At 46.2% G+C, this 26,820-nt stretch overlaps 1 protein-coding gene across 8 annotated transcripts in view, besides 6 other annotated features; it reads left to right on the forward strand.

Moving 5' to 3' along the window:
* Positions 1,427-2,392: an enhancer, noted in NCBI's record as "H3K27ac-H3K4me1 hESC enhancer chr1:10534116-10535081 (GRCh37/hg19 assembly coordinates)". NCBI's record gives its function as "activates a minimal SCP1, AML or CMV promoter by ChIP-STARR-seq in naive H9 embryonic stem cells {active_cell/tissue: H9 hESC(naive)}" and the evidence as "EXISTENCE:reporter gene assay evidence [ECO:0000049][PMID:30033119]".
* Positions 1,427-2,404: a biological region, named in NCBI's record as "H3K27ac-H3K4me1 hESC enhancer GRCh37_chr1:10534116-10535081".
* Positions 2,215-2,404: an enhancer, noted in NCBI's record as "active region_150". NCBI's record gives its function as "activates an Ori minimal core promoter by ATAC-STARR-seq in GM12878 lymphoblastoid cells {active_cell/tissue: GM12878}" and the evidence as "EXISTENCE:reporter gene assay evidence [ECO:0000049][PMID:35858748]".
* Positions 2,318-26,820, forward strand: part of PEX14 (peroxisomal biogenesis factor 14) — a 155,809-nt gene continuing 131,306 nt past the window's right edge. For 4 of the 8 annotated variants that reach the window (XM_047422545.1, XM_047422543.1, NM_004565.3 and 1 more), the window contains exons 1-2: positions 2,318-2,370; positions 22,642-22,689. Coding sequence is in view for 6 of the 8 variants with exons in the window: in NM_004565.3 (NP_004556.1) it covers positions 2,335-2,370; positions 22,642-22,689 (84 nt within the window). In the remaining 2 variants the exon portion in view is untranslated. Of the gene's footprint in view, positions 2,449-11,860; positions 12,484-22,641; positions 22,690-26,820 lie in introns of those variants that run through there. The other 4 variants (XM_047422544.1, XM_047422546.1, XM_011541579.4 and 1 more) reach the window with 3 other exon arrangements.
* Positions 2,405-2,574: a silencer, noted in NCBI's record as "silent region_247". NCBI's record gives its function as "represses an Ori minimal core promoter by ATAC-STARR-seq in GM12878 lymphoblastoid cells {active_cell/tissue: GM12878}" and the evidence as "EXISTENCE:reporter gene assay evidence [ECO:0000049][PMID:35858748]".
* Positions 22,040-22,334: a silencer, noted in NCBI's record as "tiled region #5895; HepG2 Repressive DNase unmatched - State 25:Art". NCBI's record gives its function as "represses a minimal TATA promoter and a strong SV40 promoter by Sharpr-MPRA in HepG2 cells {active_cell/tissue: HepG2}" and the evidence as "EXISTENCE:reporter gene assay evidence [ECO:0000049][PMID:27701403]".
* Positions 22,797-22,856: an enhancer, noted in NCBI's record as "active region_151". NCBI's record gives its function as "activates an Ori minimal core promoter by ATAC-STARR-seq in GM12878 lymphoblastoid cells {active_cell/tissue: GM12878}" and the evidence as "EXISTENCE:reporter gene assay evidence [ECO:0000049][PMID:35858748]".

Consider the following 26,820-nt stretch of genomic DNA (forward strand, 5'->3'; position numbering starts at 1 on the left):
TGGCGTCGAAGCATGCCGGAAACTGTAGTCTCTGGGTTTAAAGCCGCTTTCGTTCTATCGCGCGATTCAGCCTAGGAGTTGTTTTTAACTTTTAGGAGCTGCATTCGCGCGTTCAAATATAAGGCCAATAGAGACTTATTTTGCATGACGATGCACACGCATGTATACTGTATTGAATTTTTAGAGCATTCCTATTCGCATATGAGATGCATAATGCTAATACAGACACCCGCATGTTTCCACCCATTCTATTTCCTGCTTCAACTGTGCAAATTAGTTTGGGGTCTCAGAACAAAACGCTTAAATAAATATAGTAAGCATTAAAGTCTCAAATGCATCGGAGAGGAAAGGGGAAATGCGACTCGGCACTGTTGGAGATTGTTCAGATGCCTCTTGACAACATATTCATCTTTGTTTTAATACTGCTACTATGGAAAAGTTTGTTTTTTTCCTCCTGAAAAATAAACATCTAAGATTAAAAGAATAGTAATAAAAATGATCAAAAAGTTCCTCTCTTAAAAGAGGGCATTTTATGTAAACTAGAAGTAATTATCTGCTCATATTTATTCATTCGGGGGACACTTTCCTTCCTTGTTTCTTTTTTCTTTTTTTGAGACAGCGTTTCGCTCTGTCTCCCAGGCTGGAGTGCAGTGGCGCGATGATGGCTCACTGCAGTTTTGATCTCCTGGGCTCAAGCAATCCTCCCACCTCATATTTTGTTTATAAAAACGTGGGCAAGGGCCCCGGGGGCGGTGGCTCACCCCTGTAATCTCAGCACTTTAGGAGGCCGAGGCGGACAGATGATCTGAGGTCAGTAGTTTGAGACCAGCCTGGCCAGCATGGTGAAACCCTATCTCTACTAAAAATACAAAAATTAGCCGGGCGTGATGGCGCACGCCTGTAGTCCCAGCTCTTGGGAGGCTGAGGCAGGTGAATCGCTTGAACCCGGGAGGCGGAGGTTGCAGTCGGCCCAGATCGCACCATTGCACTCCAGCCTGGGCGTCAGGAGCAAGACTTCGTCTCAAGCAAAAACAAAAACAAAAGCAAAAACAAACAAAAAAAACGTGGGAGAGGAAATTGGATATTATCTCAAGAAAAGTTTAGACATTTAAAACAGCGTTTAGTAGGAGGAATTATTCATTAAGTCATCCCTTTTAAGCAGTCTATATTGATCAAAACACAACTATAATAGGAGCTGGCGGTTAACTCTAATGTATGTATCCTTTTTCATATAATTTCATTTTTTATTTTCTTATCTTATTTTTAGACAAGGTCTCGCTCTGTCGCCCAGGCTGGAGTGCAGTGGCATAATCATAGTTCACTGCAGCCTCAACCTCCTGGGCTCAAGGGATCCTCCTGCCTTGGCCTCCTAAAGTGTTGGGATTACAGGTGTGAGCCACTGCTCCCGTCCAATATTTAATTTAAAATCTAACAATTAAAAAAATCTAACAATTCAACCAGTGTAAAATAATGACGTTTTGTAGAAGCCTCTTCTCTTCAAAATGCCCCCTTTTATGTTCTCCCAATAGACCTGCACACTTATCCGAGTCCTATCCCCATAATACTGTAATTGTAAGTGTGTTTGGCCTGGGCGTGGGAGTAGGGATTGAGTCTTGAATGTTTTTATTTCAAGGCCTACCAAAGTCCCTAGCATATAGTAGGCACTCAATGAATGGAACTGAACTGATGTCTAAAAATTAATTTCCAAGTTTCTTCGCATTCATCCATTGGCAAGTCCCTAAATGTGCCCATGGCACTGTGGGGATGGGCAGAGATTAACTCAATAAGAATAATATGGGCCGGGCGCTGTGGCTCACTTCTGTAATCCCAACACTTTGGGAGGCCGAGGCGGGCAGATCACCTGAGGTCGGGAGTTCGAGAGCAGCCTGACCAACATGGAGAAACTCCATCTCTACTAAAAATACAATGTTAGCCGGGCATGGTGGCGCATGCCTGCAATCCCAGCTACTCGGGAGGCTGAGGCAGGAGAATCACTTGAAACCGGGAGGCTGAGGTTGCGGTGAGCCGATATCGCGCCATTGCACTCCAGCCTAGGCAACAAGTGCGAAACTCCGTCTCAAAAAAAAAAAGCAAAACCAGAATAATACACATATAACAACGCAAAGAAGATATAGACTTGGGATCTTCCTGGAAAGCAGAGTCTTAACGGAAACTATGCAAGGTGACCCGGACACCCGGGCTCCACCCCTCTGCCCCAGTCCCCTACATCGACAGGCTCTGTTCCGGCTACCTTAGTCTGGGCGGGAGGGCGAGAGCGAGGGCGCCTGGGAGAAACCTCGCCCAGCGGCGGTTGATTAGTCAGGCCTCAGAAAGATGGCGTCCTCGGAGCAGGCAGAGCAGCCGAGCCAGGTAAGGGGAGTGGGACTGCCCCGCTGTGCGGCGGAGACCCCGGCTGGAGGGGGCGCTCAGCATACGGCTGGGAGCCGGGTAGGGACCCCGAGTCTCCGAAGCTGGGGACCCCGACCTCTTGCCCCCTCCTGAGCCCCGCCCCTCCCCAGGTCCTCCCCACCCGGCCCCTCCCCCCGGTGACCCCTCTTTGACCACATTCCGGAGCCCGGGCTCTGGTGTTTGGCTGTGCCCCCGGGTCCCCACTTCCCGCCTGCCAGCACCTCTGGTCCCACTTGAGCTTGTTGGGGAGGGTGACGGGACCCTTGGGAAGTCCCCAGCCTTGAGCTGCGAGGGCTTGAGAAGGAGAGGATAGATCGATCGTTCCCGGCTGTCCCCTCCGGGGAGGGGCCTGTTTCCATTAGGGTTCCCACTCCCTCACGGCCTCAGCCTCCTGGAGCGGCTGCCAGCCTCTTCATCTGTGGTCACCTTTGCGCTTCTCTCGTCAAGTTGGATAGTCAGAAATAATCTAGTCGAGCCCTCTCAGTGCGTTGATAGGAAAGGGACGCACTGTGACTAACAGACGCCACCAAGCTTTTGGCTGAGGACCCATCCTCGCTTCCCTGGGTTTGGTTTTGTTGGCCGAGGGCTCCGCTCTAGCTTTTCACCTGCAGATTCAGACAAATCCCACTCCAATAAGGGGACCATAAGGACCAGCGTTGACGCCTGTGCCTCTGCGGCCGGGAGGCAGTGGATGATAAGGTCTCCGAAGGGGTTTATAGTCCAAAGGTGGGGTAGGGTGGGGTGAGGAGAAAAGGGCTAAGAGACATCTTACATTTAACTGCCTGTGTGGTGTCATGTTGAGCACAAATTACATCTATTATCTCGTTTAGTGTTCACTACAACCTTTATGAAGTGCAGGCTACTAACCTCCATTTCACAGAAATGAATACTAAGGGTTTGTGACATGCCCCAAATCGTGTGCTCTGTTGAGCCTGTATTGAACCTGTGTGACTCCACTAGTCATCCATACATTTTTGAGTTTAGTTAGGATTAGAATGAGGAAGAAGAAAATAGTTTCAACTTGGGGCCTCATTCCTCCTCTCCCATCTCCTTGAAGCACCTCTAAGAGTTTTCAGCAACTTACTAGTATTTCACTTCCTTCAGAGGCAGAAGACCACCGCTTAGTGTTTCTTACTGTCTTATTCTGCACGTCTGTTACAAGAATTGAACTTAAAGGAGTTGGTGTGTTCCCCCATACCAGTTTCTATTAGCAGTGTGAATGATTCAGGAAGAAGATGTCTTGATTGTAAAACATGGGAGATAACAAGGACTGATTCTGGCCTTCTCACTGTCAGGTGTTCTGGAGTTTGGCAAGTGTCTCGAGAGGAGGGCCTCTCCTTTCTTGCCTTACCACATTTAGTTTGCTGAAATACTAAGGCATCTTGGGGTCTGGGTTTCTCTGAATTGTTTTGTGTTAGGAATGCCCACAGGCTGGGATTGAAGGGTGTCCTCAGTTCCTGATTCTTTTTTCTTTCTTAAGACGGAGTCTCTCTCTGTCGCCCATGCTGGAGTGCATTGGCGCAATCTCGGCTCACTGCCTCCCGGGTTCGAGCAATTCTCCTGCCTCAGCCTCCCAAGTAGCTGGGACTACGGGTGCCTGCCACCACACCTGACTAATTTTTGTAATTTTAGTAGCGATAGGTTTCACCATGTTGGCCAGGCTGGTCTTAAACTCCTGACTTCAAGTGATCTGCCCGCCTCAGCCTCCCAAAGTGCTGAGATTATATGCGTGAGCCACCGTGCCCGGCTCTGTTCCTGATTCTTATAGGACATTTAATTTGCCAGTGCTGTAAACAGTACTAAAAATCTTGCCACTTGGAGCCACTGTTATGCCCAAGGATTCTTTTGGTTTTGCAAGTTTGCCCTCTCTGTATATGTATTTAATAGAAAAGGATCTAAGGTCCTTTAAGGGGGCATGGCCATCACTTGTTTGATTTTCAGCTCTGCTTCTCCTTTGCCCTCCTTTCCAAAGCTGGTGGAGGTAGGATTGCCACAGAACATGCTGGCAGCCTGGGGGAAAAACTTGAACTTTTCTTTTTTTTTTTTTGAGACAGAGTCTCGCTGTGTCACCCAGGCTGGAGTGCAGTGGCGCGATCTCTGCTCACTGCAACCTCCGCCTCCTGGGTTCACGCCATTCTCCTGCCTCAGCCTCCCTAGTAGCTGGGACTACAGGCGCCCGCCACCATGCCCAGCTAATTTTTTGTGTTTTTAGTAGAGATGGGGTTTCACCGTGTTAGCCAGGATGGTCTTGATCTCCTGACCTCATGATCCGCCCACCTCAGCCTCCCAAAGTGCTGGGATTACAGGCGTGAGCTGCAGTGCCTGGCCAAAACTTGAACTTTTCATAACAGACTCTATGGCTATCTAACAAGAAGCAAATGCACGCTTTTTGAATGAACCAATGCTCTTCAGCAATTGCCTGTTTCATTTTCAAGTCTTGATCAATCCAGTTTCCCATTTCTCCGATTAAAGCAGAGTAGGATTGAAAGGATTGTTTAGCTAATTCCCCCACGCCTTGTTGTGTAGGGTTAGAACTGTGGGGCTGAGCCAGTATTCTGTCTTTCACAGAAAGTTTGTTGGTTAGCCTTGTCATATCAATCTCTGGTTTCCAGCTATTAAAGGTGAATAACCTTCTCTTCCCTTGAGAGGCAGTGTAGAATAGCGGTTACAAGTATAGGCTCTAAAGCCAGACCCACTGGCTTGGAATCCTAACTCCACTAACTTACCAGCAATGTCATCTCGGACAGATCTACTTAATTTTTCTAGACTTAATTTCTCCATGTGCAAAACAGGGAAAATACTAGGACCTATCTCACAGAGTTGCTCTGAGGACTAAATGAGTTATTTATTTATTTATTTATTTTTGAGACCGAGTCTCACTCTGTTGACCAGGCTGGAGTGCAGTGGCGCGATCTCGGCTTACTGCAACCTCCGCCTCCCAGGTTCAAGTGATTCTCCTGCCTCAGCCTCCCAAGTAGCTGGGGCTACAGGTATGCACCACCAGGCCTGGCTAATTTTTTTTTTTAAGTAGAAATGGGGTTTCACCATATTGGACAAGCTGGTCTCAAACTCCTGACCTCAGGTAACCTGCCCACCTCGGCCTCCCAAAGAGCTTGGTATTACAGGCGTGAGCCACTGCACCTGGCCTTAAATGAGTTATTTATGTAAAAATGCCAGAACAGTGCCTGAAACAATGTGTTGTCTATTATTATTATTATTCAATTTAATAAGCTCTGAGTTTTCACTCACAAATGGATCTAAACCTTTCTTCAAGTTCTATTACGACATCTTTTGGGGTATGATTTTTCATGTGTTGACTACTTGTCTAGTAAAGTTCTTTTATTCAGAAGTAATTCCTTAAAATTTCAAGGAATGCCCTGAATGCTAGTGTTTATTCTAGCTGTCCTTCATGACTTTTGCATTTCAGGAACATACTTACTTTTTCATAATGGTATAGTCTTTTTAGTCTATCCTCAAGACGACTTGCTGGAATTTCATTTATTGCTTCCTTTGTTCTGTGTTCCCCACATTGCTCTGTTTTATGTGGTTGATCTATTGATTGAGACAGGGTCTCACTCTGTCACCAGAGTGCGGTGGTGTGATCATGGCTCACTGCATCCTTGCCCGCCCAGGCTCAGGCAATCCTTTCGTCTCAGCCTCCTGAGTAACCGGGACTACAGGTGTGCACCACCATGCCTGGCTAATGTATTTTTTTTTTTTTTGAGACAGAGTCTCGCTCTGTCGCCCAGGCTGGAGTGCAGTGGTGCGATCTCAACTCACTGCAAGCTCCGCCTCTCGGGTTCGAACCATTCTCCTGCCTCAGCCTCCAGAGTAGCTGGGACTACAGGCACCTGCCACCACGCCCGGCTATTTTTTTTTTATTTCATTTTTAGTAGAGACGATGTTTCACCGTATTAGCCAGGATGGTCTCGATCTCCTGACCTCGTGATCCGCCCACCTCGGCCTCCCAAAGTGCTGGGATTACAGGTGTGAGCCACTGTGCCTGGCCTGGCTAATGTATTTTTAAAACAATTTTTGTAGTGGTGAGTTCCTGGCTGGGCGTGATGGCTCATACCTGTAATCTTAGCACTTTGGGAGGCTGAGTTGGGAGGATCGCTTGAGGCCAGGAGTTTGAGACCAGCCTTTGCAATATAGGGAGACCTCGTTCCTACTGAAAATTAAAAAATTAGCCAGGCATGGTAGTGCTTGCCTGTGGTTCCAGCTACTTTGGAGGCTGAGGTGAGAGCATCACTTGGGCCTGGGAGGTTGAGGCTGCAGTGAGCGGTGATTGTGCCATTGCCCTCCAGCCTGGGTGAGAGAGCAATACCCTGTTTGGGGACGGGGGAAGAGACAGAGAGAGAGAAAGTGCTGAGATTATAAGCATGAGCCACCACGCCCAGCCAGCATGGCTGATCTCTCATTGAAGTCCTTTCTAGTGTGTACACGTTGGAGCCCGTAGGAATGAGAAACGTTATCTCTATTTCCCAACTTTCCTACTAGCTTTTCTTCCTTCGCTGAACAGCAGAGGCATGGTTCAATCTGATTACTTCACAGTTACTGAGTATCGAGTATTATTGCAGAAGGTAGATTTCCTATCTGTGGAGGTTCACTGGGTACAGTAAATTTTGCATTGAGAGGCTACAGAAGCAGGCAGGGAGAAGAGCAGAGTGAAAGAGTGGAAGAGCATGGCTTCGCATCCTGGCAGGTTTTGGTGGAACTTCATCACTCACAACTATTGGACTTATCACTCCACCTTTCTGAGTATGTTTTCTCCTCTGTAAAACGAGAGCAATAATAGTTACCCTTAAAGCTGGGTGTGGTGGTGCATGTCTGTAGTTCCAGCTACTCAGGAGACTGAGGCTGGAGGATTGCTTGAGCCCAGGAGTTGGAGTCTGTAGTGCACGATGATCACATATGTGAATAAACCCCTGTACTCCAGCCTGGGCAACAGAGTGCAACCCTATCACTTAAAAAATAAATAAATAAAATAAAAAATAATTACCCTTTTAGTGTTGACTGAAATCACAGATGTGAAGAGCACCTGCTGCATAGTAAGTGCTCAGAGTTAGTTTTCTTCTCCCAGTCTTTACATGTAGTTTTGAGAGTCTGTTGAACTCTTGAATAACAGCAGGTCAGACAAGGTATTTGCCCTCTCAATGTTTTTTTTTTTTGTTTTGTTTTGTTTTTGAGATGGAGTCTCCCTCTGTTGCCCAGGCTGGAGTACAGTGGCTCAATCTCGGCTCACTGCAACCTCAGCCTCCCAGGTTCAAGCGGTTCTCCTGCTTCACCTGCCTCAGCCTCCTGAGTAGCTGAGACTACAGGTGTGTGCCACTACGCCTGGCTAACTTTTTTTTTTTTTTTTTTTTTTTTGAGACGGAGTCTTGCTCTGTCTCCCGATCTGGAGTACAGTGGCACAATCTCGGCTCACTGCAACCTCTGCCTCCTGGGTTCAAGCGATTCTCCTGTCTCAGCCTCCTGAGTAGCTGGGACTACAGGTGCCCGCCACCATGCCCAGCTAATTTTTTTGTATTTTTAGTAGAGATGGGGTTTTGCCATGTTGGCCAGGCTAGTCTTGAATGCTTGACCTCAGGTGATCCACCTGCCTCGGCCTCCCACAGTGTTGGGATTACAGGTGTGAGCCTGGCACCTGGCCTCAACTTTTTATTTTGAAAAATTTCTCACGTATAGAAAAGTTGAAAGGATAATACTGAGAACTTCTGTAAAATTCCCATAAAAACTTAACCAAGATGCACTGTTCACATTTTGCTGAATTTGCTTTATGTCAGTCTCTCTCTCTCTTTCTCTCTCTCTCTCTCTCTATATATATATTTTTTTTTTTGGAAGGATTTGTGGTAAGTTACAGACATCAAGGATATTTCATCCTAGAATATTTCACCTTATCTCTCATAAGAGTAAGGTTATTCCCCTGTATAACCACAATATCATTATCACACAAGAAATTTAAGTGTTGATAAATAGTATTATTTAAAACAGAATCTGCACTCAAATTTTCACACTTAAAAAAAATCAGAATCTAGTGAAGAAACAGAGATTGCATTGATTTGTCTCTTTAGTCTTTTTTTTTTTTCCTTTCCTTCCTTTTTTTTTTTGTTTGAGACAGAGTCTTGCTCTGTTGCCCAGGCTGGAGTGCAGTGGTGCAATCTTGGCTCACTACAACCTCCGCTTCCTGGGTTCAAGCAATTCTCCTGTCTCAGCTTCCCAAGTAGCTGGAATTACAGGTGCCCGCCACCATGCCTGGCTAATTTTTTTGTATTTTTAATAGAGACAGGGTTTTGCCATGTTGGCCGGGATGGTCTCGAACCCCTGACCTCAAGTGATCCACCCACCTCGGCCTCCCACAGTGCTGGGAGCCACCGCGTCCAGCCTTAAACTTTGTTTGTTTGTTTGTTTGTTTTTTGAGACAGGGTCTTACTCTGTCACCCAGTCTGGAGTGGAGAGGTGTTATCACAGCTCACTGTAGCCTTGACCTCCTGGGTTCAAGTGATCCTCCAGCCTCAGCCTCCCGAGTAGCTGGGACTATAGTCATGCACTATGATGCCCAGCTAATTATTTTTTGTAGAGGTCGGGTCTCGCTGTGTCGCCCAGGCTGGTCTTGAACTCCTGACCTCAAGTGAGCCTCCCACCTCAGTCTCCCAGGCTTCTTTTACTTAACACATATTTTTGAGATTCATTCATGATGAGAACAGTGACAGTTTATTATCACTGCTTTATACAGTTATTGTATGAATGTGTTTGGCCATTTATTATTAACCATTCTACTCTTTTTTTTTTTTTTTTTTGAGACAATGCCTGGCTCTGTTGCCCAGGCTGGAGTGCAGTGGTACGATTTCGGCTCACTGCAAACTGCTTCCCAGGCTCAAGCCATCCTCCTACCTCAGCTCCCCTGGTAGCTGGGACCACAGGCGCATGCCACCACACCTGGCTAATTATTTTTGTATTTTTTGTAGAGACGGGGTTTTGCCATGTTGCCCAGGCTGGTCTTGAACTCCTGAGCTCAACCAGTCTGCCCGTCTGGGCCTCCCAAAGTGCTGAGATTACCAGTGTGAGTGACCACATCTGGCCACCATTCTACTTTTTGTTTTTTGAGACTGAGTCTTGCTCTATCACCCAGGCTGGAGTGCAGTGGCATGATCTTGGCTCACTGCAACCTCTGCCTCCCAGGTTCAAGTGATTCTTCTGCCTCAGCCTCCTGAGTAACTGGGATTATAGGCACTGGCCACCATGCCTGGCTAATTTTTGTGTTTTTAGTAGAGACGGGGGATTCACCATGTTGGCCGGGCTGGTCTCGAACTCCTGACCTCAAGTGATCCACCTACCTTGGCCTCCCAAAGTGGTGGGATTATAGGCGTGAGCCCCTGCGGGTGGCCCATCTTACTTTTTTTTTTTTTTTTGAAATGGAGTCTCGCTCTGTCACCGGCTGGAGTGCAGTGGCGCAATCTCAGCTCACTGCAACCTCCGTCTCCCGGGTTCAGGTGATTCTTCTGCCTCAGCCTCCCAAGTAGCTGGGACTACAGGCATGTGCCACCATGCCCGGCTAATTTTTGTATTTTTAGTAGAGATGGGGTTTCTTCATGTTGGCCAGGATGGTCTCGATGTCTTGACCTCATGATCCACCTGCCTTGGCCTCCCAAAGTGCTGGGATTACAAGCATGAGCCACCGTGCCTGGCCTGAGCCATTCTACTTTTAATGGACATTAGATTGTTTCACCTTTAGGGTCATTACAAATAGTACTGCTGTGAAAATACCTGTACGTGTCTTTTTGTGAACATAATATGTGCATTTCTGGTGAGTTCATCTACGTTTTTTATTTTTTATGGTATTGACATGTTTGGAGAGTCTGGACTACTTGTTTTGTGAAATGTTCCACCATCTGGATTTGTCTGATTTGTTCCCTTACATTTAGATCCGGGTTAAACATTCTTTTGTGAGAATATTATGTAAGTGACGTTGTGTCTATCTGTGTATCATATCTGGAGGAACGAGTCCCATTGTCGAAGATGAAGTTTGATTGTTTGGTTAAGGTGGTGTCTATCACATTTCTCCATCATAAAGTTAACTTGCTAAATTAGTTGCTTTCTTTGCAACTTTGCTAGTATTGTTTTAAATTTTTGAGACAGGGTCTCACTCTGTCACCCTGGCTGGAGTGCAGTGGCACAGTCATGGCTCGCTGCAGTCGTGACCTCCTGGGCTCAAGTGATCCTCCTGCCTTGGCCTCCCAAAGTGCTAGGATTACAGGTGTGAACATGGCCAAGTTTTTCTTTTTTTCTTTCTTGAGATGGAGTCTTGCTCTGTCTCCAGGGTGGAGTGCAGTGGTATGATCTCGGCTTACTGCAATCTCCACTTCCCAGGTTCAAGCGATTCTCCCCCCTCAGCCTCCGGAGTAGCTGGGACTGCAGGTGTGCACCACCATGCCTGGCTAACTTTTTATATTTCAGTAGAGACGGGGTTTCACTATGTTGGCCAGGATGGTCTCAATCTCCTGACCTCATGATCCACCCGCCTCGGCCCCCCAAAGTGCTGGGATTATAGGCGTGAGCCACTGCGCCTGGCCTGGCCAAGTTTTTTTTTAGTATTTTAGTTTAATATTGTATTGACTGACAAAGTCTTATGGCCTAAACTTTACTGTGGAATTCTAATAGGTGTGTTGTGATCAGTTTGAGTTTTGACAAATTGTATATACGTGTGTAACCACTACCACCCTAAACCTGTGTAACCACCACTGCCACAAGCAAGATCAACAGTTTCAGTATCCCTAAACGTTCCCTTACGCCCCTTCCCATTGAATCCTTGCCTGTGGTCCTAGGAAATCTGAACTGTTTTCTATTACTATAGAGTATATTTGTCCCTCCTAGAATTTCATATGAATGAATTATGTATTCTTTTATGTCTTTTTTGGCTCAGAATAATGTTTGTGAAATTTATTTGTGTTATGGTATGTATCAGTAATTATCAGTAATGAATTACCTTTTTTTTTTTTTTTTTGAGATGGTATTTCGCTCTTGTTGCCCAGGTTGAAGTGAAGTGGCTCAGTCTTGGCTCACTGCAACCCCTGCCTCCTGGGTTCAAGAGATTCCCCTGCCCCAGCCTTCCAGTAGCTGGGATTACAGGCGCCCACCACCATGGCCGGCTAATTGGCTAATTTTTTTGAATTTTTAGTAGAGACAAGGTTTCACCATGTTGGCCAGAGTGGTCTTGAACCCCTGACCTCAAATGATTTGCCCACCTCGGCCTCCCAAAGTGCTGGGATTACATGTGTGAGTCACTGCGTCCAGCCAATTTTTTTTTGTTTAGTAGAGATGGGGTTTCACTGTGTTGGTCAGGCTGGTCTCCAACTCCTGACCTCATGTGATCCAACTGCCTTGGCCTCCCAATGTGTTGGGATTACAGGCGTGAGCCACTGCGCCTGACCATGAATTACTTTTTACCGCTGAGTAGTATTCCATCGTATGGATGGCTATATCTCAATTTGTTGATCTGTTCACCAGTTGATGGACATTTGTAGTAGTTTTTGATTCCTGCGTAACAGTATTACCACAAATTTAGCCGCTTGGCACAGCACACATTGATTATCTCATGGTTTCTGTGGGTCAGGAGTCAGGAAACCACTGGGCTGAGTCTCACCAGGCTACTATTGAGAAATCTGTCAGGACTGTGGTCGCTGACTAGGGAGGGGTCTGCTTCCTAGCTTGTGTGGTTGTTGGTGGCATTCAGTTCCTTATGGACCATGAGACTGGAGACTTTAGTGTGTTACTGTCAGCCAGCGGCCGCCCTCAGTTTCTTGCCAAATGAGTCTTCCCACTTGCCTCCTCAAAGCCAGCAGAAGAGAGAGTCTCTTAGTAAAGTGGACATTACCACGACGTATCTCACCCACATTAATGCAGTCACGTACATGCTGTCACCTTTGCCATATTGTGTTGGCCAGAAGCAAGTAACAGATCCTGGCCACATTTGAGTAGAAGGAACAGCACAGGGGCATGGATACCAGGAGGTGGGGATCATGGGGTCACCTTAGAGTCTGTTCCCCACAGGATTCCTTCTCATTCTGGGCTACTGTGAGTATTTGTGTATGTGTAAGTGTTTGCGAGGACATATTCTTCATTTTTCTGGGGAAATAACCTGTAAGTGGAATGGTAGGCTTATGTAGTAAGTATGTTTAGCTTTGTAAGAAACTGTCTAAATTGTCTAAATGTTTTTAGCCATTCTGGTGAGTGTGTAGTGTTATTTATTTGTGTGTGGTTTTTTTTTTTTTTTTTTTTTTTTAAGAGACAGGGTCTTTTTTGTCTTTGTCGCCCAAGCTGGAGTGCAGTGGTGCAATCATACATAGCTCACTGTAATCTCCAAGTCCTGGGCTCAAGTGATCCTCCAGCCTCAGCCTCCTGAGTAGCTAAGACTCAGGTGCATGCCACCATGCCCAGCTAATTATTTTTTGAATTTTTGTAGCGAGGGGGTCTTGCTGTGTTGCGCAGGCTGGTCTTGAACTTCTGGACTTGAGTAGCCCTCCTACCTCTGCCTCCCAAAGTGCTGGAAGTACAGGCATGAACCACAGGGCCGAGCCTAAATATTTTTTTGTTTTCAGGATACTGTTATATTTATGGATTTTATTTTTTAATTATTCAATGCTACTATGTAGAAATAAAATTGAATTTTATATATTGGTCTTGTATCTGCAACCTTGTTAACTTATAATTCTAGTAGTTTTTTTTTTTTTTTGAGACAGACTCATGCTGTGTCACCCAGGCTGGAGTGCAGTGGCGTGATCTTGGCGCACTGCAACCCCCGCCTCCTGGGTTCAAGCGATTCTCCTGTCTCAGACTCCCTAGTAGCTGAGATTGCAGACGCCCGCCACCACGCCTGGCTAATTTTTTTGTATTTTTAGTAGAGACGGGGTTTCACCATGTTGGCCAGGCTGGTCTTGAACTCCTGACCTCAGGTGATCTGCCTGCCCCAGCCTCCCAAAGTGCTGGGATTACAGGTGTGAGCCACCGTGCCCGGCCTCTAGTAGCTTTTTTGTACATTCCTTGTGATTTCTCTATAGATGATGGTATCATCTGCAAATAAAGACAGCTTTACTTCTTACCTTCCCATTAATATGCTTTTAATTTTTCTTGCTTTATTGCACTGTCTAGGACTTTGAGTGCAATGTTAAAAGTAACAGTGGAAGTGGATGTCCTTGCTTTGTTCCCCATTTTGGGGGAAATATTTTTAGTCTTCTACAGTTAAGTGTTAGCTATAGGTATTTTGTAATAGGTGCCTTTGTCAAGTTGAAGAAATTCAACCTTCATTTTTAGTTTGCTGAGTTTTTTTTTTTTTTTTTTTTAATCATATGTGTTTTGAGGCCAGGCACAGTGGCTCACGCCTGTAATCCCAGCACTTTGGGAGGCTGAAGCAGGAGGACTGCTTGAGGCCAGGAGTTCGAGACCAGCCTGGGCAACATAGCGAGGCTCTGTCTCTATACAAATTTTTAAAAAATGAGTCTGACATGGTGGCACATACCTGGAGTTCTAGCTACTCGGGAGGCTGAGGCAGGAGGATGACTTGAGCCCTGGATTTCCAGCTTACAATGAGCTATGTCACACCACTGCACTACAGGCACTACAGGCTGGCTGAAAGATGGAGACTCTGTCTCTTTTTTTTTTTTTTTTGAGACAGACTCTTGCTCTGTCACCCAGGCTGGAGTGCAGTGGCGCGATCTCGGCTCACTGCAACCTCCGCCTCCTGGGTTCAAGCGATTCTCTGCCTCAGCCTCCTGAGTAGCTGGGATTACAAGCATCCACCGCCATGCTTGGCTAATTTTTTTGTGTTTTTAGTAGAGATGGGGTTTCACCATCTTGGCCAGGCTGGTCTTGAACTCCTGACCCTGTGATCTGCCCACCTTGGCCTCCCAAAGTGCTGGGATTACAGGCGTGAGCCATTGCACCCAGCCTGAGGCTCTGTCTCTTAAAAAAAAAAAATTATTTTTGAATGTTGTCAGGTGCTCTTTTTTGTCTCTATTGAGTTGATCCTTTTGTTTGCTTCCTTTCTTTTATTAATATGGTGATTTATGTTGATTGATTTTTGAAATGTTAAACCAATTTTTTATTCATTGGATAAATTCTACTCGATGTGTTATGCTTTTTATATATAGCTGGACTCAATAGTATTTCGTTAAGGATTTTAACATTTATGTTTGTGAGGGATATTATTCTATAGTTTTTTTGTATGTGGATGTGTAAAATCTTTGGTTTTTATGTCAAGATAGTACTGGCCTCATGGAGTGAGTTTGGCAGTTTTTTTTTTTTTGTATTCTTTGAAACAGTTTATATAAGATTGCCATTATTTCTTCCTTAAATGTTTGATAGTATTTACCAGTAAAGCCATCTGGACGTAGAGTTTTCTTTTTAAGTTTTAATTATATACTTTATTACTTTTTCTTTCTTTCTTTTTTTTTTTTTTTTTTTTTTGAGACGGAGTCTTGCCCTATCGCCAGGCTGGAGTGCAGTGGCGTGATCTCAGCTCACTGCAACCTCTACCTCCCAGGTTCAAGCGATTCTCCTGCCTCAGCCTCCCAAGTATCTGGGACTACAGGCGTGCGCCACCACACCAAGCTAATTTTTGTATTTTTAGTAGAGATGGGGTTTCACCATGTTGGCCAGGATGGTCTCCGTCTCTTGACCTTGTGATCTGCCCACCTCGGCCTCCCAAAGTGCTGGGATTATAGGCATGAGCCACTGTGCCCGGCCTACTTTTTTTGTTTTTGAGGTTGAGTCTCACTCTGTTGCCTCGGCTGGAGTGCAGTGGCTCGATCTCGGCTTACTGCAACTTCTGCCTCCTGGGTTCAAGGGATTCTTCTGCCTCAGCCTCCTGAGTAGCTGGGATTACAGGCATGTGTTACCACACCTGGCTAATTTTTGTATTTTTAATTGCGATGGGGTTTCACCACCTTGGCCAGGCTTGTCTCGAACTCCTGACCTCAAGTTATCTACCTGCCTCAGCCTCCTGAAGTATTGGGATTTCAGGCATCAGCCACTGTGCCTGGCCTATTACTTTTTTTATTTACATATTTTTAAATTATATATTTAGTTTTAAAAATAGATGTGAGGATATTAAACTTTTTTATTTTTTCCAGAGTCAGTTTTGGTATGTTGTGTCTCAAGGAATTTGTCCTTATCATTTCAGCTATCACTGCTCTCTACAACCTCCGCCTCCTGAATAAAAGCGATTCTCCTGCCTCAGCCTCCTGAGTAGCTGGGATTACAGGTGCCTGCCACCATGCTCGGCTAATTTTTGTATTTTTAGTGGAGATGCGGTTTCACTGTACTGGCCAGGCTGGTCTCAAACTCCTGACCTCAGGCGATCCACCCGCCTTGGCCTCCCAAAATGCTGGGATTACAGGCGTGAGCCACCGCACCTGGCCTGAAATTTTTATTTTACATATTATACTTTTCATGTCTAGAAATTCTATTTTCTTTTTTTTTGAGACGGAATGTCACTCTGTCGCCCTGGCTGGAGTGCAGTGGCGTGACCTCGGTTCACTGCAAGCTCTGCCTCCTGGGTTCACCCCATTCTCCTGCCTCAGCCTCCTGAGTAGCTGGGACTACAGGTGCCCGCCACCATGCCTGGCTAATTTTTTTTTTGTATTTTTAGTAGAGAAGGGGTTTCACCGTGTTAGCCAGGATGGTCTCGATCTCCTGACCTCGTGATCCATCCGCCTCGGCCTCCCAAAGTGCTGGGATTACAGGCGTGAGCCACTGTGCTCGGCCTCTATTTTCTTTTTATACCTTACATTTCTCTTCTTACTGTGACATGTTTTCATTTAAATACTTGAGTATAGTTGTAACACCTGTCTTACTGTTCTTGTCTACTAGTTATATCGTCTGGTTTTTCTTATTGTTATTGGTTACATTTTCCTGCTTCTTGACATATGTTGAAATTTTTAAATTAAATTTTATGTTTTTGAGACTGAGTTTTGCTCTTGTTGCCTAGGCTGGAGTGCAATGGCGCGATCTCGGCTCACCGCAACCCCCGCCTCCTGGGTTCAAGTGATTCTCCTACCTCAGCCTCCCAAGTAGCTGGGATTACAGGCATGCACCACCACACCCGGCTAATTTTTGTATTCTTAGTAGAGACGGGGTTTCTCCATGTTGGTCAGGCTAGTCTCGAACTCGTGACCTCAGGTGATCCGCCCGCCTCAGCCTCCCAAAGTGCTGGGATTACAGGCGTGAGCTACCGTGCCTGGCCATGTGTTGAAATTTTTTATTGGATGCTGGATATTGTGAGTTCAGTATTGTTGAGGTTATGGATTTTGTGGTCTTTAAAGAGTGCTTAAAGCTTTTTTCTTCTGTGCAGTTTTTTATGGTTTACTGTTATCATTTTGAGTCCTGTTTTTTAGCTTTGTTAGAGTGGATCTGGATAATCTTTAATCTAGGGATCATTTGACCTCTGGTCTCTCCTGAATGCCCTGTGAGGACACTCCAGTCTGGCTGCTTGGGACTCATGATTCCCCTGAGAGTTCTAAGAAATGTCAGCTCCTAGCTTCTTCTTCACTGTGGAGTTTCACCCTATGCATGCACAAATTTTAGTATTCAGCAGAGACCTGAGGGAACCTCCAGACAGATTTCTGGACCACTTTTTCTGCATAGCTCTTTCTTTCTGAAGTCTGTCCTGCAGCTTTCAGCTGCCTTGGCCTCCCTGAACTCTGATCTCTGTCTCTTCAACTTAAGTGGGTGGCGTGCTCTGCTGGGGATCCCCGTCTCTCTCCAGGGCCTGAAATGTGTCTCCTGGCAGGAAGCCAGAGTGATTTTAGGGCCCAAGTAATTTGTTTCTCTGCTTTCAGGGATCGTAGTCCTGCACTGCCTGCTGTCCAATGTGTACACACAGTGGTTTTATTTATTTGGCTTAGTTTTCTAGTTGTTTACAGTGGGAGGGCAAATCTGTTCCCTATCACTCCATCATGACCCGAAGTGGAAGTGCATTGGTTGACTTTGAGCAGAGGAGTGACATGAAATAACTTATCATCTCCTCTAATCCCAAATGTGAGGTGGTGGTATTATTCCCGTTATTCCCATAGATGAGGAAACTGAGGCTCAGAGAGGTTGAGCAGCGTGCCCCCAAATCACTGAGTTCTTAATGCCAAAGCTTGTGTACTTTCTGTCATGCCACTGCATCTCAAAGGATATTGGTGGGATCGAATCTTATTCTTCCCAGCAGAGAACTACACAGACTGGCTTAGGACCTATCTGGAGTCACAGTCACCGGGCAGATGCAGGATGGGTTCTCCTATCTGAAGTCGCAGTTACTGGGCAGATGCAGGATGGGTTCTCCTAGACCTGGAGCTTTCGCCAGTTGCTCAAATCTGTGAGCTGCTTGTGAGGTTGTTCTTTGTTGGACAGCAGGTCAGGATCTGGGAACGCCTTCCAGTTGGGGAAGGTCAGCGCCTTGGCAGCAGGAGTGAGAGCACCTTTGTCTCTACCAAAAGAAAAGCATTTCTCTCTCTGCCGCCGTAGTCTTTGCCTGACTTGTTTTTTTAAAGCAGTTTTCTGCTTTTGCTTTCTTCTCTTCCTGCTCTCCCCATTCAGGCCTCTAAGGATCCTGGGCATGGATTGCCTTAGGTCCTTTTCTTACATCGTTACAATAGATGCCTGTGGGTGGTTTCTAAGCCTTTTTTTTTTTTTTTTTTTCTGAGACAGTCTTACTCTGTTACCCAGGCTGGAGTGCAGTGATGTGATCACAGCTCACCACAGCCTCAACCTCCTGGGCTCAGTTGATCCTCCCACTTCAACCTCCTGGGTAGTTGGGACTTACAGGCATGTGCCACCATGCGTGGCAAATTTTTGTATTTTTTAGTAGAGACAGGGTTTTACCATGTTGCTCAGGCTGGTCTCGAACTCCTGGGCCCAAGCGATCCTCCCACATCGGCCTCCCAAAGTGCTGGTGTGAACCACCATGCCCGGCCTTGTTTTTTTTTTTTTTTTAATCATGGACTACTCTGTGAAGATTTCCAGGATCAGTTGGAGATGAGGTTTTGCTATGTTGGCCAGGCTGGTCTTGAACTCCTGACCAGGTGATCTGCCTGCCTCGACCTCCCAAAATGCTGGGATTACAGGCGTGAGCTACTGTGCCCGGCCTGCTTCGATTGTTTAAACAGCTAGCATGGTGGAAGATTTTAAAAAAATGTTCACAGGGTAGGCCATGATTAAAAAAATAAAAAAAAGGCCAGGTGTGGTGGCTCACATTTGTATTCCCAGCTTCATACTGGGACTGTGGCTCTGGGAAGCCATGACTTGAGGAATTTGGAGTGTTGCTGTTTCAAATTCCATGGTAGGAATATGCATACACATGCACCCTTTTTTTCTTTTTGAGACAGAGTCTTGCTCTGTTGACCAAGCTGGAATACAATGGCACCATCATAGCTCACTGCAATCTCTGCCTCCTGGGATCAAGCGAGCCTCCTGAGTAGCTGGGACTATAGGATGCACCACCACACCCGGCTAATTTTTAAATTTTTTGTAGAGATGGGGTCTCGCTGTGTTGCCCAGGCTGGTCTCAAACTCCTGGCCTTAAGGGATCCTCCCATTGTACCCTCCCAGAGTGCTGTGCTGGGTTTAAGGTGTAAGCCACACTTGGCCATGCTCCTTTTTTTTTTTTTTTTTTTTTTTGGAGACAGAGTCTCACTCTGTCACCTAGATTGGAGTGCAGTGGCATGATCTCAGCTCACTGTAACCTCCGCCTCCCGGGTTCAAGCGATTATTGTGCCTCTGCCTCCCGAGTAGCTGGGACTACAGGCATGCACCACCACACCCAGCTTATTTTTGCATTTTTTTTGTAGAGACGGGGTTTCGCCATGTTGGCCAGGCTCATCTCTAACTCCCGGCCTCAAGTGATTCGCTCACCTTGGCCTCCTGAAGTGCTGGGATTACAGGCATGAGCCACTGCACCCGGCCGGCCATGCTTCTTATATGCTTTGAATATCCTTGGCAGAATATATAAGGAACCAGCGTCAGTGTGGGTCCCCTAGGGTTGGAATGAGAGGGAAGCTTTCTTTTTTACTTTTAATATTGAATTTTCTAAAACAATTCATTTACATGGCTTATAATTTAAAAGGTACTAAAGGGTTTATGATGAAAGAGACTTATTTGGCACTGTGTACTGTTTGAAGTTTTTCCCTCTGGTAAATACTAGCTATTCAAGGGATGAACTAATTTTAAGAGCAGTTCCTTGGTGGAAACAATTCATAGTGATTAGTTTTATTTTAGGAAGAAAGTTTTGGGTTAAGTCAGAATGGGGCTTCCTAAATACTAAAGCTGTTTGCTTTTGTGTGTTTTGTCTGGTCAAATAACCTACATTATTATTTATGGGGTAGCATTAAGGTTGTTGCTTAATAAAATGTGGTTTAAACAAAACTTGCTTATTTTGATTAAGTAGAAGGGTTCAAATCCCTGTAGTACCAGTTACTATCTGAGTAATCATGGGCAAGTTATTTAACCTCTTTTGCCTCAGTTTCCTCATCAGCAGTAATTTGATATACTTATTGTGAGAATTAAAGGAGGAAAGAGCTAAGTGAATGTTAGCACTTAGTATCTAGCAAATGGAGTAGAGGAAACCCTCAGGAAGATAATGAACGGAAGAATCTAAATAATCCATTCAGCTGAGTTGTTGCCATTGTTCTGTTTTTTTGTTGCCCATTCATTCATTCAGCAAATTTCTATTGAAGGCCTCCTCTGTGCCTGGCACTGTCCTAGCCCCCAGGGATACAGTGATAAGCAAACACAGGCAGTTTCTGCACACGTGGAGTTTATAATCTGGTGAGAGAGACAGGCATCAGTCCGATAGTCACACAGATGTAAAGTTGCACATCTGCTCAGGTCCTTGAAGGAGAGGCAGGTGGTGTTACCTGAATGTGTCACAGGGAGATCTGACCTAGTCATGGATGTCAGAGAAGGAATGCTTCCCTGAGGAAGTGTCTTAGCTGGATCTGAAGGATGAACTAAAGGGAAGGAAGGGCATGTGCAAAGGCGCAGTGACAGAGAAAGCAAAGGCCAGTGCGTCTGTCAGGGGGCAGAAGTGGGCAATGTGGTGCCGCTTGAGACCTGAGGTGTAGTCAGAGTAGACGTGAGGCCTTGTAGGCCACGCTGAGGTTTTTCTGTCTTCTAAGAGCAAGGAGAAGCCCTTAAATTTGTTGTGTTTACTGGGGTGAGTGGGTGGACAAGGGATGGGACGAGCAGATTCTCCTTTGGAAATGATAGTCTGTTTGCATCCCAGAATATGAATTGGAAGAGCGCCAGCACTGATGAGAAAGCTGACGCAGTGGTCCAGGCAGGGGATTTTGGTAGCTTGGACTGAAGTGATGGCAGTAGAGATGGAGAAAAACGGATGGATTGTTTCCATGGACTTTTTAATTTTTTTTGAGACAGGGTCTGGCTCTGTCACCTGGGCTGGAGTGCAGTGGTGTGATCATGGTGTACTGCAGCCTTGAATTTACAGGCTCAAGGGATCCTTCTGCCCCAGCTTCCCAAATAGCTGGGAGTACAAGCGCACACCACCACACCTGGCCCATTTTTATATTTTTTGTAGAGACGAGGATTTGCCATGTTGCCCAGGCTGGTTTCAAACTCCTGGGCTCAAGCAATCCATCCTCCTGGGCCTCCCAAAGTGCTGGCATTTACACCACTCTTCCATGGATATTGAGGAAGGAGTATGGCAGACTTGATGTAATGAGTTAGCTCTGGGAGCGAGGGAGAAAGAGCTGTCTCAAGATGGCCTTTTGGATTCTAGTTTACATCATTTGGTGAAGTTTGTCCCATTCATGCCAAGAGGGAATGCTGGAAGAAGACATATGTGTCAGAGAGGACTGTGAGTCTGCTCCAGGGCAGCTTAACTCCAAGAAGAGGCAGGAAGGCAGTCGGATGTGTATCTCAGAGGGGTGTGGGCTGGAGCTCTAAAGGTTTGAAGTTACCAATGCCTGGAGCTTTGGGAGGACAGGAGGCAGGGAGGCAGGGGAAGCTTGCTCACATTCCCTGAGACGGACCCTCACTTTCTAGATCGTTTCCTGCTGGCTGACCTCTTGTCCTGGGGTGGTGAGGCTCTTGGGACAGGACTTCGGATGGAGGGATAGAGGCCTTCACCCAGCAGAGTGCTTGCCACTGTGCTGTGTGCCAGCTAATGTGGTAGTAGCTGGGCATGAGGAATTTTTGGGAACCCTCTGCAGACCGGGCCTCTGTCCTTTTCCAAGGCGGCCTGGCACTTCCATCTGATCTGTAATAGCCGGGAGAATGGAGGCTGCAGGCTGTCTCCTGGGACACACAGATTTTGCTGCACTTGTCTGGATATTAACTGTAGATAGATGGCAATTGGCCTGACCATCAGTCACAGTAAACTAATCATAGCTCACTTAGCAGCATACCTGCTTACTTTATTCTTTTGGAGATTTGTAAATTTCTTCAGAATCTGTCTCTACCTCTGCCTCTCCCTTTCTCTAAATTTTGGCCAGATCAGTCAAGGGTCGAAGGCGCCTGTGAGGGTGAGGTAGTGGCCCCAAGGAAGAGGAAACGGGCTAGAGCCAGGGCCTCGGCCACAGTGCTGCCTGCTCGCCTGGAGGTTGGTCTGCTTATATGCCAGCCTGTCACTAGCTTATTTCCAAGAAGGATTTAAGCCTGGGGCTTTCTTTACTATTGTGGGGTGGTGTCCTTAGTGGCAGGTGATGAATAGGAACCTGTGTAGTTTACTGGCTTCTGGGCTCCAGAAACTAGATGCCCAGAGAAAATCCTGAGCGTGGGCAGCTGGGGCCCCCTGGTGGTGGAATCTGGTTCTCCACTGCTGCGCGACTTTTCTTCCCAGTCCCCTGACGTTGGGGAGGTGGCAGAAAGAGGAGGTGTTGTGCTCTCTCTTCAGGCCTTTTCTCTGGACTCTACTCTTCCCGTGGATTTTGGGATGGTCCCCAGCCCTTGCTGCTCAGTAGGTGATCGTGGGCCTTCCTGAGCAGAACCAAGCCTTGTTCTTGGAGTGGTGTGACAAGTGAACCCAGAAACAGTCTTCATCTTCCCTGGTGAATTCAGACTCTTTGGGCTACTTTTTACAGGTAGTCCACTGCAAAATACTCTTGTGTCGTGAAAAACCAGTGAGAGATGTGAGAAAGAGGTGCCAGCGTGCATCGTTTGAGAACGGAACATCTTTGGTTTTTTGATGTCCATTGGGTGGCACTGTGATCTTATTTTTGTTTCCATTTTTCTCTGCAGCCAAGCTCTACTCCAGGAAGTGAAAATGTGCTGCCTCGAGAGCCGCTGGTAAGTACCCAAGATATGTGGTATCACTTTCTAGTAATTAAAATGCCACGCGAGTGAAAAGAAACCTTCTGTTCCTATGGTTCTGCGTCAGTAGTGTCCCTTTAAAAGTAGCTGTTACCTAGAGACTGCCTCTGTCAGTGACCTCTGACTTCTCTTCTCGCGTGTGGGGACGAGTGAGATCTCTCCTTAGTAAAGGCTGGTCCTTTCTAGGACTAAAAGCATCCACCCCAGATGGTCCTGCACCACTTTGTTTGTGGCTGATCAATAGTAATTAGTGAGATTCCTGCGCCCGTGGGAGGCTGAGGTGGAGTGAGGTGGCTGGGCTTCTAGATTGTTTGAAGTAGCCGCCCTCTGCTCTGCCCCTCAGGGTGCGAGCGCCTCAGTGGTCTTTAAAGAACAGGTAAGCGATGGAATTCTGGTTTTGCCTGGTCAGTAATTGTGTGATTGTCATTCCCAACGCTGTCTTCTTAGACTATGGATAGGGAAGAGGCCTATTAAGCACTGCAGGTAATTTTCTCTCCCAAGTGCTTTTCATTTGGTGGCCAGAGTCCCAGGCTGCCCACCCCATTTTCATTCTTTTTTGCTTTTCAGGGCCTGCTGTAAGTCCTCTTGGCTGGGTAGTAAGACTGGCTCTGTATAAACCAGATAAGTTTGATGGGAGAGCCAGCTCTAGGTTTAACTTTTCAGAGCTTTTTCTTCCTGCGTAGCGATAGCAGGCGTAGGGCTGTACTGCCAAGGCTTTGTTTCAGCAGGGCCTGTGGTTTCACCTGTTCTGCTTCACTCCCCTTCTGGCAGTCGCGGGAGGAGATGACGTGAGGGACTTAGCGGGTATGAACACGTCTGAATTCCAGTGTGTACGAAGGCTTTCCCAGGCTGAGGGCGAGTTGGATCCAGTTGAGCTGTCTGTAGAAAGGCCGAGGTGATACAAGCACTGCTGGGACTGTTTCAGGGGAGCAGTGTTGTCATTCATGTCACCTGCTGTTACGTCACCAGTTACGGGCTTATATCCCAGCACTCCCACGGTGGCCTCGTTTCACTCTTTTGGTATTGCCCAGTTCCTTCCTTGAGGTCATGGTGGTGGGAAAGCCCAGGAGGCCCCACCTTGCTAGTCTCTCCGGACGTCTGCCTGCTTCCCTGGGGCCTGCCTCAGTGCCCCTCAGGCCGAAGTTGTGGTTGTTTTAGACTGAAGTGCAGATTGAACACCATAGGCCGCTGCAGTCCTTTCCTTCCTCTCTCTTTTCAAATTTTGATGTACCCATTTAACTGGTCATCGGAGGAGTGGCCAGTCCATCTTTTGGGGCTTGATTCGACAAGCTCTTTGGGAGCCCTGAGCAGTTGGCCAGCTCACTGATTTCTGGTATTTGGAGCCCTGCAGACCCCTTGCTCTGCTAGTGTTTCTGTGCCCTGCTCTTCCTGCTGTACTGTGCATCTGCTTGTTGGTTGGTTGTATTTTTATTTCTTTCTTTTCTGGGAGGCCCTGAGCAGTCTTCAAACCCTAGTAGCCTGTGATCGTCCAGAGTTCAGACTCATTCTCTCCAGGCCAACTCCACAATTACCTTATATTTAATTAATATTTTTTCTCCTCTTTACGTACTTGCTGCATAATTGCTCAGAGGAAAGAAAACACATAGCGGCAATTTATATATATATATAAAATAATAATTAAAAAAACCCCCGAAATAAACTCCCATCTCATTTGGGCTGATCCTATGAGTTGGGTAATTAGGGCCCTATTAAAAGGTAGACCCTTTCTCCTTCCCCCACTTTTTTGTTTATTAAATTTTTTATATTAAACTCCCACAGTCTCTCAGTCATGCCCTTATTGCTTTTGGCCAAGCATTTGCAGCAGCCTGATTAAACGGGGGCACCAGCTGAGTCGCGTGGTCTTGTGTGAACTGCTTCTTCCTCCTGGGAGTGGTGTTGGGAGGGTGTCAGGCAGAGGAGCCCGCTGAGGACTCGTGTGGCAGGGCGGGGGCACAAGATGGGCAGCCCCCTTGCACAGAAAGCCCCACAGCTCAGTGTGGTGGTGTTGCGGTTTGTGAAAACACACAGCAGTCAGCCCTTCCACAGGGAGGGAGCTTTCTCAGGCCATGTGTATTTGCTGTCTCCTGCATGCTCAGCTTAGCTCAGCTCAGGCCTGAGGATGGGGAACAGACAATTGAGGAATAAAACTAAACCTTGTTCTTGAGTAATTCACGTGTTTTACTTTGGGAAGAAAAGGCATTTATACATATGAAATAAGAGCAAACTGCACACGACTGTATGTAATTTTAGCAAATAGCACAACATTGTGTATCATTTGGTGCAGAGCTGCCTGGTTGGGCGTAGAAGAGAGCCCCAAGTTATTCAGAGCAGGAAGAGCTCTGCGGAGGGCGAGGGCCACTTAGGGATGGCTTTTGGGAAACTTGAAGCCAGGCCTTGAGGAATGGGATATTTCAGTGTTGGGGGAACACACTGCTAAGTTGTTTTGTTTTTGTGTTTATTATTGTTAATTTTTTCATTTAAGCTTCGGGAAATACATATTCTTTTTGTTTTTAACTGAATGCATATTTTTCATACAATTCCTTAATGGAAGTTGCCTGGTCTCTACACTAAAGGCAAATAATCTTATTCTTTGTCCCAGACTAGATGATCACTTTGAAATAATTTTTCCCCTTATTAAAAAAGTAAGTTACTGGCCAGGTGCAGTGGCTCATGCCTATCATCCCAGCACTTTGGGAGGCCAAGGTCGGGGGATCACTTGAGGCCAGGAGTTTGAGACCAGCCTGCACAAAATAGAGAGACCCCATCTCTATTATAAATTTTAACATTAGCCGGGCTTGGTGCCTCATGCCTATACTCTCAGCTGCTCAGGAGGCAGAAGCCAGAGGATTGCTTGAGCTCAGGAGTTTGAGGCTGCAGTGAGCTATGATCAGGCCACTGCACTCCAGCCTGAGCAACAGAGCAAGGCCCTGTCTCTAAAACAAAACAAAACAAAACAAAACAAAACAAAACAAAAGAATGAAAATAAAAGTAAATTACGACAGAAGAAGTTCTATTTAGTAGTCAGTGCGGTGCAGGTGACATTGTGATGTAGTCAATATGTGCATGATTGTTTTGTTTTATTTGCTAGGCAAAGAAGACTTGATTTTCAGTTCTGTCCTCTCTGAATCATAAAAACTGTCTCGAGATTTTGTGGTGAGAAGTGTAATCTTGTAGTCTCTAAACGACACATTCGTGTTTGTAGCCAAATCCTGGCCTTGATTCTAGCAAAGTAGTGAGGCTGCGTGTTTCCTTTTCTTGCCCGTTCAATCCTGCCTCGATCCTGGCCTCCAAATCAAACCAACCCAGCAACATTGACCGTCTCAGAGGAGTATTGCTCTCTAATATCATGTCATTAGGGCTAGAGATTGGTGAACAGACCAGTCTTGAGAAATTCTGCAAACTCCAAGTTGAAATTCTCTGTTGTTGACAAAACTCCGCCAAAGTTAAAATGGCTGGTTACTTTTTTCTCTTTATACTCTCTTCACTGAGCTTTGCCTGCTGAGGCAAGGAGTTCGGACAGGCCTCCAGAGTACAGACCTCCAGCTTCTCCCAGATCTGTGAAAACCTGTGAATTTCCCACAGACTCTGGTTTTCTAGCCACAGTTGTGTGCCTGTCCTTAGGCCCACACAGTCTCTGGATCCAGCTTCTTGTGCTGTCCTAGTAGGACCAAGTCCCTGCCTGGTCTATAAGTATTTTAGAATGGGCGGACAATTGTCCACATGTGCATGGGGTAATTCAGTTCCCATCTTGTTTGGATACTGAAACTTGGGTTAAATAAACTTTTGAGCTTTCCATTTAGTCATATGATTTTTGGTTATTTGAAGTAAGCAGTAAATAAGGTTTGATTTACACATCTGCTCACTTGTTTCAATTCAGTTTCTCAATGTTCAGCAATACTATAGCTCATCTACTTTAAACAGTGCTTATGGATTTTGGCTAAACTAGAATTTTAGCTTTTTGCTCTTTGACACCAAGTTCTCTCTAATGGATGAGTCCTTGGCCATCGTCTCTTCCTTTAACTTTTAGGTGTAGGTTCTTTTTGTTTTTTCTTTCTGTCCTCTTTCCTGCATCTCTCCACCAAAATAATCCCAAAGAACAATTTTTTT

Source organism: Homo sapiens, chromosome 1 (assembly GCF_000001405.40).
Source record: "Homo sapiens chromosome 1, GRCh38.p14 Primary Assembly".
NCBI classification, from domain to species: Eukaryota; Metazoa; Chordata; class Mammalia; order Primates; family Hominidae; genus Homo; species Homo sapiens.